We start from the raw sequence: 16,881 nt of genomic DNA, 5'->3' as shown, positions 1-16,881 counted from the left end.
AGGTCTGTAATTCACACAAAAGCTAAGAAAGCAACAAAACAGAGCAGAGGAATGAAGGGCCTTCTAAATCCCCCTGCTGTGTGTTCTCATAGCAGCCTGGGCTTTTCTTCAATAGCATTTCCCACAATTATGATTAAGGAATTATTCCTATCCAGGCGAAGAGAAAAAAACAGCTTGGAAAAGACCCACATAAATACCATATGTCAACGCAGCACAGAACGGAGGTGCCGTTACAAGACACCGTGGAAACGATGGGCTACTCAAACAAAGGTATTGGGACCAATGACTTTCCTTAGAGAAGAAAAAAATTAGATTAGACCCCCATCTCACGCTACACACAAGAAGAAGTTCCAAATGGATGAATGACCTAAACATGAAACTGAAACACAAACTTCAACATTATTAGAAGAAAAGAGAGGAGAGTATCTTTACATTATCAGGTCTTAATCAAGGCAAGAAAATCGTAATCATAAAAGAAAAGATCAATTTGACCATAACAAAATTTTAAACTGTACAACAAAAAGCCCAAGAAATATACCCCATGATAAGCAATACACCCAGAAGAGGCATTTGCAACTTATACAACAGGTAAAGAATCAGTCCAAAAATCTATCAGGAACACACACAGACACACACACACACACAGACAAGCAATCCAATAGAAAAAAATAATAGGTAAAGAATTTGAACAGGTCTTTTACTGAATAGGAGACCCAAATATTCAGAAAACATGGTGTAATGTTCAATGCCCTCATGATCAGAGATATGCAGACAAAGACAGGTCTGAGCTCCATTCCACACCCAATCTGTTTGGCAAAAACTGAAAAGTCTAATAATACCAAGGACCGGTGGGAATGTGGAGAAACAAGAACTCTCAGATGTTGCTAATATAAATCAGTGCAAACGGCCTGTTTGGAAAACAGGCCAACACTAGCCAGTCAAGCTGCAAACGTTCACGCCCTGTGATTCAGCAATTCTACTTCTAGGAATACCTCCCACTGGGGTTCCAAGGGGAGGCACAGAAGACGATCCCCACACCTTGCCTGTGAGAGCAAAGGTTGGGGGTTGATACAAGCGCACGTAGTGATCAAAATGAATGAGCCAACTCAATGCTCTCACATGGATGGATTTGAAAAACAATACTGGGTGAAAAAATTGAGTTGCAGAATATCACCCATAGTTTGCTCTTTTATAGGTAAATGAAACACACAAGAAATCATCTATGATTTATGAACACATAGAGACAGCACAACGTAAAGACAGACTGGAAGACTATGACCCAAATTCAAGATCAAGGGCTGCCTGGAGGGAAGGAGGAAGGTCCACAGTGAGTGGCTACCAAGAGGGATTTTGGCTGCAGCTAAAATGTTTTACTTCTTTTATGTGAGAGAATCATGCAAATATGAGAAATTATCAACCTCTGTTAATTCTGGTGGATGGTTTTATATTCTCTGCATTTTTAATTATTGAAAAGGGCATGAGTCCCAAAGCAAATACAATTAAAATTCACCATGCTAAAAAAAAAAAAAAAAAATTCATCTTTGTCACTATTTTGGACCCACCTTCCCTGAGGGCACAGATTGGGTTTACCTTGTCTTTTGCTACAAATCCAGAGATCAGCACAGGCTGCTGGATGAATGGATCTTTTTAATGCATTGCCTCATTCAGTCTTCACAACTCCAAGAAGTGTCTCCATTGTACAGATGAGAAAACTGGCTGGGCAAGATTAAACCACTTGCCAGAGCTTTCAAGGCTAGCAGATCTTGAACTTGGGCCTAACTCTACAGACATGGGTAGCTAAAGTTCAGTGCAGGCAGGGAAGAAGGTGGGGGCAGAAGCTGTGAGTGGCAGGCATTGTTCTCAAGGCTTTGTATGCATTCACTTACAGTACAACCACCATGGGAGTAAAGTATTATTAACACGCAGAGGACAATGTGGAGAGGCAGAGGAAGGCTGGGCTGGGTTCTAAAGGGTTTGAAATACAAGGGCTAGGCAAGACACGTTCTCTATTTCCTGTGGGTCCTGCACTTGGCCAAAGGACTTCCCAGGCTTAGGCCAGGAGGGGGCCAGGAGCTAGTCCTGCTGGAGTCAAGACTAACAGGAAATGTGTACTTGGCTCAGCCAGGTCTGTACCTTCAGCACTCCCTCCCTGCTGTGGACAAGGCCACACAGGGTTCCCATCCAGCCTCCTGTGCTCACCACACGATACTATGAGTATCTCTGGTCACCACCTCTTTGCCCCATACAGGGTTGCTGTGTTGCCTTCTGCCAATTACTCATTTTCTCTGTGCCTTGGCTCCCTCCTGTGCAAAAATGGGAACTTTAGGGACAGAGCGTGGCAGAAGGGAGGCAGCTGAGAATGGACAAGACTAGATGGAGATAAGTGACCAGAGCTGGCCCCCACTGGGGGTGGATGGCACTCTTACAGCACCTGGGGAGCGTGGCCAAGTTGGGAGTCCATGGACACCACAGAAAGACCCTCTCACTGGGTGAGTAGGAGCACTCACCTGAGCAGGGGGTGCATGTGATTGGGAAAATGCTTGGACACGGTTGGAACAGATGGTGCACCTCAAACCCTGCATAGAGTAGATGCTCAATAAACATGTTTAACAAAACTAGTGTGAAGCTACTGGATAGGGGTGCACACAGCACAGGGGAGTGCCCAGGGGGACTCATGGGGGCAGTAAGTTGTGTGTCAGGGCCATAGGCAATTCATCTGCATTCATTTCCTCATCTGAGCCTCCGGTGGTCTTAAAGCAGTGAGGCTGCACCCACTGTTACCAGGGAGGCCAAGATCAGCATGGACAGAGATTTTGGTGCCAGGAGGAAGTACTAATGAAAGTGCCTAGCCTAGACCCTTTGACAATGTTAGCAGAGGACCTAAATACCAAACCAGGAAACCAAGGCAGAAACACCAGTGTAAGAAACAGGTCAACTCAATGGCAGTGGGGCAGAGAATAAAGCTCAGTATACACGCAGGTGGGTGTTTGGGGCTTCAATCAGGTGAGGACAAAAGGAGCACGTCCTGATGCCACTTGCTGATGAGGGTGAGCACCTGACCAGCTGCCTTGGTCAGAGACAGGACTAGGCCAGGTATGCAGGTGGGCCATGCTCAGGGCTCCATGGAGAGACCAGAAGAGAGGGAGAAAAACACAAGTGAGAACAAGGACCCTGGGGAAACCCAAGACGTCTGTACAGTGCAGCCACTGCAGGGCTGCCGTTGGCTCTCCTGGGAGTCACAGGCCACCCTGAGGGAATCCCCTGGCCTGCTTGTATTTGCAGAGAGAACAATGTTTTTTGGTGGTGATGATCATAATGATGATGAGGAGGAGGAAAACAGCTATCATTTACTGAGAGCTTGCTCTGTGCCAGGCATTGTTCTAAATGCTTTATGGTATCGACTTATTTAAATAGCAAAACAACCCTTTGAGGAAAATATTATCTTGCCGAGAAAGAAACTGAGGCACAAAGAGGTTAAGTAACACAGCTAGTAACTGTTAGAGCTGGGATATGAACTCTGTCATTTGGCTCTAAAGCCCATACTCCTAAGAGTCAGGCTGTAAAAACAGCTCACATTGGAACAGCACTTTAATATTTACAAAAGCCCATCTGCATTCATTTCCCATTTGAGCTTCAACTGGTCTTAAAGCAGGGATGCCATACCCACTGTTACCAGAGAAGCCAAGATCAGAATGGACAGAGATTTTGGTGCCAGGAGGAAGTACTAATGACAGTACCTTTCACTAGGAAGGTTTGCTAAAGGGAAACAAACCTTCCTAATGAAAAAGCCATGTCTCTATAGTTCTTAGTTTGACTCAGGAACTCTCTCATCTATTACTCTGTGACCCTGGGTAAGCTGGTTATCTTCTTGAAGGCTTTTTTTCCCCTCTGTCAAATGGGCCAACAAGGGCAATCTCGAAGAACTACTGGAAGAATCACGCAAGATGATGTGTGCATGTTACCTGGGGAAACCTGTTTGGGTGATGATTGATGGGGCTTCAGGAAGCATCCATGTGGAAATTCTTTGCAGAAGGGTTTGATGGAGCAGTTGGTTAAGGACCCTGGCTTTGGAGTTAGTGGTCATGGGTGGGAACCCAGGCACTGCTGGCTGTGCCATCTTAAGGAAGTTAACTCACCTCTCTGCACACTGTTTTTATCATTCATTCTTTTTTTTTGTTTTTGTTTTTGAGATGGAGTCTCACTCTGTTGCCCAGGCTGGAGTGCAGTGGTGCGATCTCGGCCCACTGCAAGCTCCGCCTCCCAGGTTCACACCATTCTCCTGCCTCAGCCTCCTGAGTAGCTGGGACTACAGGCGCCTGCCACCATCCCTGGCTAATTTTTTGTGTTTTTTGTAGAGTTGGGGTTTCACCGTGTTAGCCAGGATGGTCTCGATCTCCTGACCTCGTGATCTGCCCGTCTTGGCCTCCCAAAGCGCTGGGATTACAGGCATGACCCACTGCACCCAGCCTTTATCATTCATTCTACAAACATTTACTGAGAGCCTACTATGACATAGGCACCATGGCAGGTGTGCTTCTGTAAAGTGGGGTGGACTGTGGTGAAGATAGAGTGACATCACCCCCATGGAGGCCATCACACAATGCCTGACTGTGGTCAGTGCCACTGGGCAGCTGGCGTCTAAGTTCTAGAGCTCAGTGCCCATCAGTTACCAGGAACTCTTTGTCTCCTGGTTGCTGTGCAGTGCAGTAGTTGAAGTGAGGCTTTGGATTCCTATGGATTTTCATTTCCCTGGCTCTCCCTAGCACACCCCCACCCCCACCCTGCCTGATACAGGAAACCAGATCCAGAGATCACCTTCCTGCCCAGCTCAGCCTTCCTACTAGAAAGCACAGAGTGATTCTTCCCATGACCTCATTAGAAAACTACAAAAGATTTATTTTTAAGACAGGAGGTGATGATTGCAGTTTGCAGAGCAGAGTTCTCGTCCCTGACTGATCACCCCCAAGGCCCCTCAAGGAAGCGTTTCCTGAGTCACCTACGTATAAATCATTGGCTTCTTCAGCGGCGGCTGCAGAAGCACCGACAGAGGCCCTGCACCAGGTGTGGCCTGCACACCTGCCTCCTCCCTTCACCTCACCAGTGATGGTTCTGCTCCAAGACTCACCCTGAAGGAGCAAGCCTGCATCCTTCCCATCCTTCACCTTCTGCAGCCTTCAGCGTGTGCCCACTGTGAGTTTGCAAGGGGAACTTCCACAGGGCGGGAGAGCTTCCCCAGGTCAGAGAAACTCTTTACAAAATCGCCAGAAAAAGATTAATACAGCCTACTGTTTTACTTCATTTTAGTAAACATGTATTAAGTGCCAACTGTGTACACAACACCAGGCTTAGTTCAGCAATGGATGTGATTTCCCACCTCACAGAGCCTACAGTTGTGTAGAGGAGATGGGCTTTCATTGCAAATTAACTGATTGCTATGGAAACATGGAGTCCTATGGAAGGGGAGAACAGAGATGGAATTTGGTCAAAGATAGCCCTTCTGAGGGAGTGAGGCTGACATTGAGAGATTAGTCAAGGCTAGGCTGGCAAAGAGAGGGTCCCACTCTGAAAGACGAGAATGAACAAAGGCTCGGGAATGAGAACGATCTGGGCCCAGACACAGAACAGAACGACCTGCGTGGCTGGAGAAGGTGAATGAGAAGCAGAGGCAGGGAGGGAGAGGCAGGGCTGGATCACATAGTGTCTAGTGGGCCATGGTAAGGAGTCTGGGTTCTAGCTACTTCCTTCTAAGGGGCCTGGGTCAGATCCCCAGGAACAGTTAAGAGAGGGTCCCTGCGAAGGAAGGAGATAAAAACACAAAAGCACTGGGCTCTACTTCCAGGAAAACAGTTTGGCAGGCTGGGAGAGCAGGGAAGCCCAAAGAAGCTAGCTCACGGCAGGGACCCCGGCCTGCCACAACACCCAGGAAGGCAGGGATGCCCAGAGAAAGGGCATCTCCTTGTCATGGTGGGCATTTGTTAAGCACTTACTGTGTGCTCTGCACAGGGCTGGACAGCAACCATTCACTCACAAACAGCCCACAGCGTTGGTATTGCCAGTCTGTTTATAGGTGAGAAAACCGGTGCTCAGAGACAGTAAGTAACTTGCCTTCGACTGCACAGCTAACAAGCAGCAGAACCCAGATCTGAAGTTAGAAGATCCAGTTCCAGAAACTGAGCACCCTTTGTTGGTCCCAAGTGTTCCTGAGAAACTATTGAATGCTATGCACCTTCTCCCTAGAAAATGCACACACCCCATCACACACATACACACGCATACACATACACCATCACACACAGGTGCAGGAGCCTCAGAGGCCTCTATGAAGCAGAGCCCTGAACCTTGGGCTAAGAATGCCTGGCTAAGGAGCCACTACCAACATGCACACTGGGATTCACAAAATTGACACTCAGGACCTCTGCAGTTGAAACCGTCAAACTAGGTTATTTTCTCATTATATGAAAGGAAGACAGTGGCTTAAATAGAGAAGACCTAGGTTAAAGTCTGGGGTCCACATGTGTGCTCTTAGGGAATTCATTTTGCCTCTCTAAGTCTTGAGGTCTCCACCTGTAGAATTCAGGTGATCATTCCCTTACAGTAGGTGGGGAGGTGGAAGGATCAAATGTGTTTAAGTGTTAGTCACTGTTATGCTCATTCCCTCTACAAGTGCTCTGTGTTTTGGCCAAGCTGGTTTACCCACTCTCTCCCCAAAAAGACCCCCCTTCTAAATCAGCCTCCCTTACAAGAGGTGGTCCGGCCTGATGATTAGGATCCCAACTGTGGTGCCAGAATGCACATAATTGGAATTCAAATCCAGCAGCATCACTTTACACACTGTGTGAACTCAAACAACTTACCTAACTCCTCTGTGCCCCAGCTTCCTCATCTATAAAGCAGCAATATTGATGGCACCCAATTCACTGGATTGCCTGAGGGTTCAATAAAATATTTTATTTTATTTTTATTTTTGAGGCGGAGTCTCGCTCTGTCACCTAGGCTAGAGTGCAGCAGTGTGATCTTGGCTCACTGCAACCTCCATCTCCCAGGTTCAAGCGATTCTCCTGCCTCAGCCTCCCAAGTAGCTGGGATTACAGGCACATGCCACCACACCCAGCTAATTTTTGCCTTTTTAATAGAGACAGGGTTTTGCCATGTTGGCCAGGCTAGTCTCAAACTCCTGACCTCAGGTGATCCACCCACTTTGGCCTCCCAAAGTGCTGAGATTACAGGCATGAGCCACTGCACCTGGCCGAGTTCAATAAATTAATTCATGGAAAGTGCTTATAGCCCTGTGAAGCCCATGGTATGTGTTATGTAAGTTAAACTATCACCACTCCTCACAACTTTTTCCAAATTCCAATCTCTTTCTTTTCAATCATTTTTTAAAATCCCACTTTCTCTGAGGAACAGCCTCCAAGATCATCAGTCTGTGTCCTCTCCCTCCACCCTCAGTAGTACCATGTCAGCACTAACCAGTATTGTTGGTTTTATCTTTTCCTGTTTACCTGTCTTATCCCTGCAGTCAAGTTCTCAGAGGGCAGAAACCAGTACTGACACTGCCTCCTACCTCTTCCTAGAACCTGGTACATCCTAATAATTCAGTGAGTATTTTTTGGCTTGTTTAATAAGAGTTGATTGAAAGTGGCAAGCACACACAAACGTGTACCACCTTCCCCGAAGAGAGGATGTCATAGAGGAAACAGCATAGGCTTTGGAATCAGGCTAACCTGTTAGAATCCAGGCTCCCTCACTCACAGGCTAGGTGGCCTTGGGCAAGTTATTAAGTATCTAAGGCTATTCTCTCATCCATAAAAGGAAGATAATAATATCTACCTCCTAGGATTGGTGGGAGCATTAAATACAATAAGATACACTATAGGTAAACCGCACAGTAGGTACTTTTTAAAAAAGTCACATAGGTTCATTGCCTATGAGCTGTGTGGTAGAAGTCTCACTGTGGTAGCTGATCTCTGAAGAGGGTCCCAAATGGACCACCCCTCTCAGTGCCATGCCCTTGTTTAGTCTCCTCCCACACTGAAATCTAGCCAGAACTTTGGCCAGAGAATCAGGCATGGCAGCTTCTGCTTTTGAGCTTTTGGAAGCCCTGAATACCATTTAAGAAGTCCAATTTTTGTGCTGAAAGACCATGCAGAGAGAACACATGGAAAGACATCATGGAAAGGCTTTGGGAAGAGGAAGTGGTTTTCTGTCAGGGAAGGAGAACAGACAGATACATACACACACACACACACACACACACACACACACACACAAACACACACACATGCCCCAGCATCCCACCTGACCTCACACTTGCAACCATCTTCCACCAAGGCACCAGACATTTTAGGGAGTCATCCTAGATATCCCAGTCCAGTAGAGCCCCCCGGCTATCTGTAGCCCCAGCTGACGTTGTTGGAGCAGAAGAACCATCCAGCTGAGCTCAGTCAACACTCGGAATTTGTGGGATAAGATGGTTGTTGTTTTTTTAAGTTACTATGTTTGGGTTGGTTTGTTTCACAGAAATTAATAACCAAAATAGTCACTCTGGACAGGAGTGTTGGAGGAGGCCAAATCCAGAAATTGAGCTGCCCATGCCAGTTTCAGAACCTCTTGTTGGGGGCAGAATGTCACTGTGGGGAAGTGTGTAGGCTCAGGTGTCAGACTGTCCGGCTCTATCATTTATAAGCTCTATCATTTATGATCCTTGGGGAGTATTGCGGCTTATACCTCAGTTTTCCTACCTGTAAACTAAGATGATAGTGAGCTTAAATGAGATAAAGCATGCAATATGCCTAGTACATAAGCATTAAAAATGTTTAGCTATTATGGGGGAGAGACTAGAGGAAGTAGGTGGTTACAGCTTGAGTCACATTGCTTCTTTAAAGAGTTTTTGTTTAATTTTCTAAAATTTCTTAAACATTGTTGCAAATTTGTTGAGGTGAATCTCATAGCCTCTGGCTCCATTTTCCAACCTCAAGTATTCAAAATAAGCTTGTGATCTTTGAAGTACAGAAGTGCAGTCCCAATTACCACAGGTTAACACTCACCTGCAGCTCATATCTATTTCTTTGAAAAAGGAAATTAAAAAGTTGAACTCTGAGTTTTAATGTTGGTTCACTCCAAAAGGAAAAATGTAAACTTGATGCTTTTCCTCTGAGGAACAGAGAACACAAAATCTAAGCAAACTCATTTGATCTTTGTTAAATTAATGTATCCATGGAAGAGTTGAAGAGGAAACCCTGGCTCCTGATAACCATCATCATCATTAACAACTTGACCATGTTCATTATTCGTCTTTGAGCATTTCCTACGTGTAAGACACTGTGCAAACCCTTTACATCTATTAGCACAGCCCTAGGTCAATTCAGAATACAAAGGGCAGGGAAGCAAGGAACACCCAACGGAGACCTGCTGGTGCTGTGCAGATGCCACTTGCCAGGCCCCTGCATGGGCCTTCAAGGGCTCCAGGATGGCTGGCCCAGACCTCCAGCAGGAGGGGAAGAGGGGAGAGAGAGAGAGAGGAAGAGGGAAGAAGAAAGGGTGGGAGTAGGAGGGGAATGAGGAGGAAAAGGAAGATGAAGAGGAGGAAGGAAAGAAGGAGGAGGAAGAGGGGAGAAGAAGATGAGGAGAAGGGGAGGAAAAGGAGGGGGAAGAGGAGGAGAAAATGGTAGAAAGAGAAAGACAAGGAAGCAGGGAGAAAGAGAGGAGAGGAAAAGAAGAAGGAGGCAGATAATAAAGAATAGAAGGCAGAATTAGGAAGAGGAGGAGGAAAAAGAAAGGGAGGAGAAGGAAGGAGGAGAAGGAGAAGGAAAGAGAAGGCAGAGAAGGGAGAAAGAAAGAAGAAGGGCCGGGTGCGGTGGCTCATGCCTGTAATCCCAGCACTTTGGGAGTCTGAGGTGAGCAGATCACCTGAGATCAGGAGTTCGAGGCTAGCCTGGGCAACATGGTGAAACATCGTCTCTACTAAAAATACAAAAATTAGCAGGTGTGGTGGCGGGAGCCTATAATCCCAGCTACTCGGAAGGCTGAGGCAGGAGAATCACTTGAACCTGAGAGGCAGAGGTTGCAGTGAGCCAAGATTGTGCCACTGCACTCCAGCCTGGGCAACAGAGCGAGACTCTGTCTCAAAAAAAAAAAAAAAAAAGAAGAAGAAGAAGAAGAAGAGGAGAAAAGAGAAGGAGAGGAGTAGGAGGAGGGGAAGCAGGAAGATGAGGGAGGAGGAGTCTTCACTATTTGGTGGAATAAGGACCAATCTCATGAAAAAGTCAACAAAGCTCCTGTATGGGACCTGCATTAATTTGAATTAATTGCACAAGTCAAAAACTACCAAGTCCCAGATGGCAGGGGCAGGTGTCCTGGGCTGTTCTGAGGAAGGAGTCACTGCTATGGCCTGGTGGTCTAGGAAGGTCCCAGGGACGAGATGTACTTAACCTAGCATGCTGCCTGGCACAGAGCAATTGCTTTAAGATACTGTTCAACAAATGAATGAATAAACTCAAAAATGAGACAACTACTCTGCCCCTCTTCTTTGCAGTACCTGGAACACTTGTTACCATATCAATATTACATCTGGTGATTTGTTTAACATCTGTCTTCCCCACTGAACAGTCATCTACAAGCTGGCAAAGACTTTGCCTGGATTGCCACTGCTGAGCCCTCAGCACCTAGCCCAGCACTTGACACATAGCAGTCCCTCAACAAAAATTCACTGACTTAGGTGTAGGCTGATCAAGGACACCTACTGCCTACTACCAAGAGGGGCAAAAGAGACTTACCCGCAGGAGCAGGCTCAAGGGTGGGGGGAGAATGTTTATAGTGGATTTAGAATGCAGCTGACTTGGCCAGGCACAGTGGCTCACGCCTGTAATCCCAGCAATTTGGGAGGCTGAGGCGGGTGGATCACCTGAGGTCAGGAGTTCGAGACCAGCCTGGGCAACATGGTGAAACCCTGTCTCTACTAAAAATACAAAAATTAGCTGGGCGTGGTGGCAGGTGCCTGTAATCCCAGCTACTCAGGAGGCTGAGGCAGGAGAATCACTTGAACCCAGGAGGTGGAGGTTGCAGTGAGCCAAGATCACGCCACTGCACTCCAGCTTGGGCAATAAGAGCGAAACTCTGTCTCAAAAAAAAAAAAAAAAGAATGTAGCTGACTGTCTGATCCACACCATCTTCTTGCAAGCATGCGCACACATACACACACACACACACACACACACACACACACACTTTCCATTTCCTTCGACTTCTCGGCCTCCCACCCAGGAAAGCCCAGGCCACTGTGACCTATCAAGGACATCACCATGACATGACATAATTAGAAAGCTGTGTGTGGCAGCTGCAGGAAAAAGATGTAACACAGAAAGGCTGAACAAGACCAAGCAGCCAGCCGCTCAGGGACACCCACCCTGGTGTGCTCTATAACAAAGGCCAAGGGAATGATCAGTCAGGGCTGTGGGCTCACTAGGCACAGGCTGACTCAGGACAGAATGGGTGGCAGATACTCTTTTTAACTCTAGAAAAGTCACCCAAAATCCCTGCAGATCCTGAAATGCTTCCTCCAGGCCAATGTCATTATCCCACTGGTAATAAAACACCTCCCTTCTGTTGACGGCTTTACAGTTATAAAGGGCTTTTATCTACGTAATCTCATTTGAAGAGTCATTCCGTAACAAAAATTTTTGAGTATATACTATATGCCAAGCTCTGTGCTATGCACTGGGGATACAGCTACAGACAAGACAGCAAGATGCCTGCCCTCACTGAGGCATGTAAGGATGGTTATTTGTCAAGAATCCCACAAGCAAATATCAACTGACAACTGATTCATGACAAGGGAGAGGAATATAATCTTCTGTAGCCCTATCAGATTGGAAACCTTGAACTAGCCTCGTTAGGCAGGTAGGATGATTGATTGAGGCCTGAAGGAGGAATGGAGTCTACTAGGTAAAAGGTAGAGAGGTGAGGAAGAGTATTCCAGCAGAGGTAAGTGCCAGGGCAAAGGCCCTGAGGCAGGAGAGAACAGCTGTGAAGGATGAAAATAAGGTAAGTCTAGTAAGGCCTCATTTTCACAGATGAGGAACTAACCCAGAGAACCCTGGGTCAAGGTCACACAACAGGAGCTGGACCAGAAACCAGACTTCTCACTCAAACCCAGGTTTTGTGAAACTCCACACAATCCTCAAAGTTCCAGGGTTCCCTTTCCCAGGCCTGCTGTGGTCCTGGCTCAGGCTAGGCTGGGCATGTCGGTGAGGATGGCAGGAGGGTGGGGGCAGGGCTGTTCTCACAAGGTCGTCCAGGCCAGCGAGGAGCAGGAAATGCCAGAGAACGCCCATTCTCATAAGACTGCCCAACTTGAGTCAGGGCTTGGGGGGGTGCACGTAGCTGTTGGGCCCCATAAGCCATCATACTGGCAGAGCTGCTGTGATTGGCAGCTCCAGGGGGCCTGGGCAAGGACCTAGGTGGGAGCTTTTCCAAGGAACATCTCAGCCCTGCCAGGCAGAGCACTGCTGAGTCAGCAAGCACCACACCTCGGGAAGGCTTCTCGGAACCTCACCCCAGCCAGCAGGAAGGAAGGACAGGCCACCCCCAACCCTGACGATCCCAGTTAAGTCAGCCTGTCATCAATTACAATCAAATAACTAATATTTGTCATGTAATGGGAGACCACACCAGGCACTGCTCTCAGCAGGCAATGCAAATGTGTGTAAGTCAGCAGTTTGTCACCCTTGGGTGTGTTGACCTACACACCTTTGCATTGCCTGCTTACAGCAGATCCCAACACCTTGCTTTATTTTCATCACAGCACTCATCACTGCTGGAAAGTATTCCAAGTGTTGACTTGTCTATGTCCAGCCCACAAGAAGGCAAACTCCATGAGGACAGAGCCTGTTCGTGTCTGTCTTCTCACTGCTGCATCCCCAGCACCTGTCACTTACTCAATACCTAAATGTGGGATGAGGAGACAATAAAAAGAATGAATGAATGGCTGCCTTCGAGGAAAGAAAAAGCTAGATCGGGCTTATTTTCATTGCTCAGTGAATGGGCATCAGAGTCTAAATCCAGTCCAGGGAGAAGTGCTGAACTAAGCCCTAGTATGAGGACGGGCAGAAGTGCAAGCAATCAACAGATATGCGAAGAAAAAGCTACATGACATGGTGTGACGGGGCTGAGAATGCCAGAAAGTCCAAGCTATCGCCTTGGTTTCTGGTTATAACCCCTGATTCCAGAGTGATCTTTATAAAATTGCTCAGTCAGCAATGCCTCCTGCAGTGGAGGCTGTAGGGCTTCCTTGCAAGCCTTGCCGGCAGGTTCAAGGGCCTCCTGCTGAGTCTCTTCCCAGGAACTGCTCAGCCTAAGGAAGGCCTCTCTCAAGGTCACACCCGCTCCTGGGGCAGCTGTATCCAATGACTAGTTGGTGTGGGGGTACAAAGACCTGACCCCCTTGTCTGGACTGGGGACAACTCTGGAGAGCTATTCCCAGGGGATGTACTGAGGCCTCTGTTGTGAGTATATCACAGCTCAACTTCTCTCTCTGTCCAGTTCTGCATCCCTGAGTTAACCCCAAAGACAATCCCCAATAAGTTTCCTTCGGGCACCTCTTAGAGTCTCTTTTCCAGGAAACTCAACCTACGACACCTGCCAAGATGCACTTAGGGAACAAAGAAACCCAACCAGGGTCTCCATTCTGGGCCAATGCCACTGGCTCTCTCAGCTAACCTATTTTTCCTTCTGCTGATATTTGAGGAGGCTTCTTGCTCCTCGTTAGAAATGGTCACATACTGGTTAACGACATTGTTGGCTGTGGAGCCAGGCTGCTTGAGTTGGAACCCCAACCACACCCCTCCTAGCTACATGGCCCTAAGCAGGTCTTTTCTGCTTCCTTATTTGTAAAATTGGTTTCTACCTCCCTGGATGTTGAGAATCACACACATCAATACATAGGAAATCTTTGGAACATGACTTGGTGCTCAGCAAATGTCCCAGACATGTGAGTTCTCAGTTACTGCCATTTTTGCAAGGAGCACGCTTGTTTCCTCACTCCCATAGAGACTGCAGGTGTGTGGGTCTGGAGCCCAGCATGCTCAGCACACCTGGGCCGGATGCTCATTACTGGGTGGATGGATAGGTGGATGCCTGCACACCTGGGCGCTTGGAGCCATGCTTGGATGGGTGCTGTCTTGCTGTTCTATCTTACACAGCTCCCTGGAAGCTTTCACAATGAAAGGCCCTGAGCAGATGGAAGACCCTGTGATTATCTGAACTGTCTGCAATTTGCTTATCACTAATTCAGTTCACCTGGGGACACACACCATTTCCATAAATCAGCCAACCACAATAGGCCCACCCAAGCAAAGCATAAAGATGACAATAATAATCATGTGTATTTATGCAGTGCCTTTGTTCTGCAAAGCTCCAAACAGTCGACAATCATTATCTCATTAATCCTGCAGCCATCTCTGAAAGGTAGGCAGAGAACAGGCGCCTGTCCCCTTGAATAGGCAGGAAAGCAACACTGATAATAACTGTGAACACTTATTGACCACTTACTATGTGCTGGACTCTATTTAAGGGCTTTATAAATGTTAACTCACTTAGAACTCTGTAAGGTAGTTGCTATGGTTATCCTCATTTTACAGAAGAGAAAACCGGAATCTAGAGAGGTTAAGGAATCTACCCAGGGTCACCTGGCTGGCAAGGAGTGGAAGCAGGATTCCACCCCAGGCAGCCTGTCTCTGGGACCTTCTGGCTTCACCTCTACACCAGGCTGCCTCTCAAAATGCGGCACACACACAGACAACAGAGGCAAATGCTAAACTCAGGGCTGTGGGTGGAAGGCACTGAGTGGTCTCTGGCCAGCCATACCTGCAGGGCAAATGGGTAAGGCCTATAGGCCTGGCTTCTGGAGTGGGTCTGCACCCTAAATTTGGTACTCACTAGCTGGCCAATCTTGCCCCAAAACGAAGAGCTGCAAAGTAAGCTGCTGCAGTCATTTGGCTCTTAAGCTGGAATGATCCTCAGAGTGGGCCTTGACATGGGGTCAGGGAGAATATAAGGGAACTAGAAGCAATGAAGGGCGAAGGTGCCATTGAGGAGGTGAGGGGACACAGCAGGGGCACCGACAAGCCCATTTTCTTCTTCATGTCAAGGACCCTCCTACCCTGCAGTGAGTCCAGGCAGCAGCTACGAGGATTTTTTCTTTTAATTATTATTATACTTTAAGTTCTGGGATACACGTGCAGAACATGCAGGTTTGTTACATAGGTATACACATGCCATGGTGGTTTGTTGCACCCCTCAACCCATCACCTACATTAGGTATTTCTCCTAATGCTATCCCTCCCCTAGCCCTCCACCCCACAACAGGCCCCAGTGTGTGATGTTCCCCTCCCTGTGTCCATGTGTTCTCATTGTTCAACTCCCACTTATGAGTGAGGACATGCAGTGTTTGGTTTTCTGTTCGTTTGTTAGTTTGCTGAGGATGATGGTTTCCAGCTTCATCCGTGTCCCTGCAAAGGACATGAACTCATCCTTTTTTATGGCTGAACCCTATAGTCTCAGCCCAAAATCTCCTTAAGCTGATAAGCAAGTTCAGCAAAGTCTCAGGATACAAAATCAATGTGCAAAAATCACAAGCATTCCTATACACCAATAATAGACAAACAGAGAGCAAAATCAAGAGTAAACTCCCATTCACAATTGCTACAAAGAGGATCTTTTAAAAAGGAGCCAAATCCCACCACACGTAGAAACATCTAGTGGCTTTGCACCCAAACCCCTTCCCTTGACAGACAAGCCCTGTGTGCCAGGTCCTGGCCCATCTCTCCTAAAGCCTCCCTCCCCTGGGCCCACTATATGGCAAACACACTTATCCTTGCAGGCCTTCGAAAGCATCCAAACTCATTCCTAGTAAGTCACCTCCTCCAGGGGGCCCTTATGGAATGCCCAACCTGAGGGAGTCCCATCACCTTTATACATCCCCACTCTAATTCTCTTCTTGGTCTTATTGCTGGCCAATTTGTTCTTGTTAATTTATTTCTTCATTTATTGTTTTTTTCTGCCCTAATTAGAATGCAAGCTCCATGGTTTAGGTATGATTTGGTCACGACTGTATCTCCAGCCTGGAGACCATAGGGGGCTCAATAAACATTTGTTGAATGAGTTATAATAAATTGCACATATAGAGTAGTTATTACATGCCAAGAGCTATCTCTGCGATTTACATAAATTAGCTCATTTAATCCTCCCAATGCCCTGCTGAGGCTGATCCTATTATCATCCCCATTTTACAGCTGAGGGAGCTGAGGCAGGAGAGGTTAAATAACTGCAAAGTCACAGAGCTGACAAATAACAGAGCCAGGATGCAAATCCAGAGGTCTGGCCTCTTAGTCCATGCTCCACACACCACACCATGCTGCAGTCAGAATGGTTCCCCCTGCCCTTAGGATACAGCCCCAACTCCTGAAGACAATGTGGAAGTGTTTGATGAACAGATCTAATCTCCTTTCCAGCCTCATCCATTGCCATTAATTCCCTGACACTGCCCAGCCCTGAGGAAGACGCTGCCCTCTCTAGTCTCTTGTATCTGCCCTTGCTGTTCCTACCCGGAGCTCTCCTCTTTCTTGGCCAACTCCTTCCTCAGCCTTTGGGTGCCAGTGTAGGCAGCCCTTCATTAGGAAGCCCCTTTGCATACCTCAGGCTGGATCAGATGCCCACTTGGCATCCCCAGATTACTCTGCCCTTGCCCTAACCCTGTACACAGCACACTCTTGTGGGGCATGTGTGTTCACCTGTCTGCAGAGGCTCCACATCCATTCATTTGTTTCAGCAAGTATTTAGCACATGCCCCTGAGTGCCCAGCCTGCACTTCTAGGTGCTGGGGAG

At 47.3% G+C, this 16,881-nt stretch overlaps 1 protein-coding gene across 5 annotated transcripts in view, besides 1 other annotated feature; it reads right to left on the bottom strand.

Annotated features, from left to right (window-relative positions):
* Positions 1–16,881, bottom strand: part of ABTB3 (ankyrin repeat and BTB domain containing 3) — a 341,209-nt gene that overhangs the window by 261,526 nt on the left and 62,802 nt on the right. The window lies entirely within an intron of this gene.
* Positions 12,346–12,891: an enhancer, noted in NCBI's record as "H3K27ac-H3K4me1 hESC enhancer chr12:107779003-107779548 (GRCh37/hg19 assembly coordinates)". NCBI's record gives its function as "activates a minimal SCP1, AML or CMV promoter by ChIP-STARR-seq in primed H9 embryonic stem cells {active_cell/tissue: H9 hESC(primed)}" and the evidence as "EXISTENCE:reporter gene assay evidence [ECO:0000049][PMID:30033119]".

Source organism: Homo sapiens, chromosome 12 (assembly GCF_000001405.40).
Source record: "Homo sapiens chromosome 12, GRCh38.p14 Primary Assembly".
Classification (NCBI taxonomy): domain Eukaryota; kingdom Metazoa; phylum Chordata; class Mammalia; order Primates; family Hominidae; genus Homo; species Homo sapiens.
This window is presented reverse-complemented; position numbering and strand designations above follow the sequence as displayed.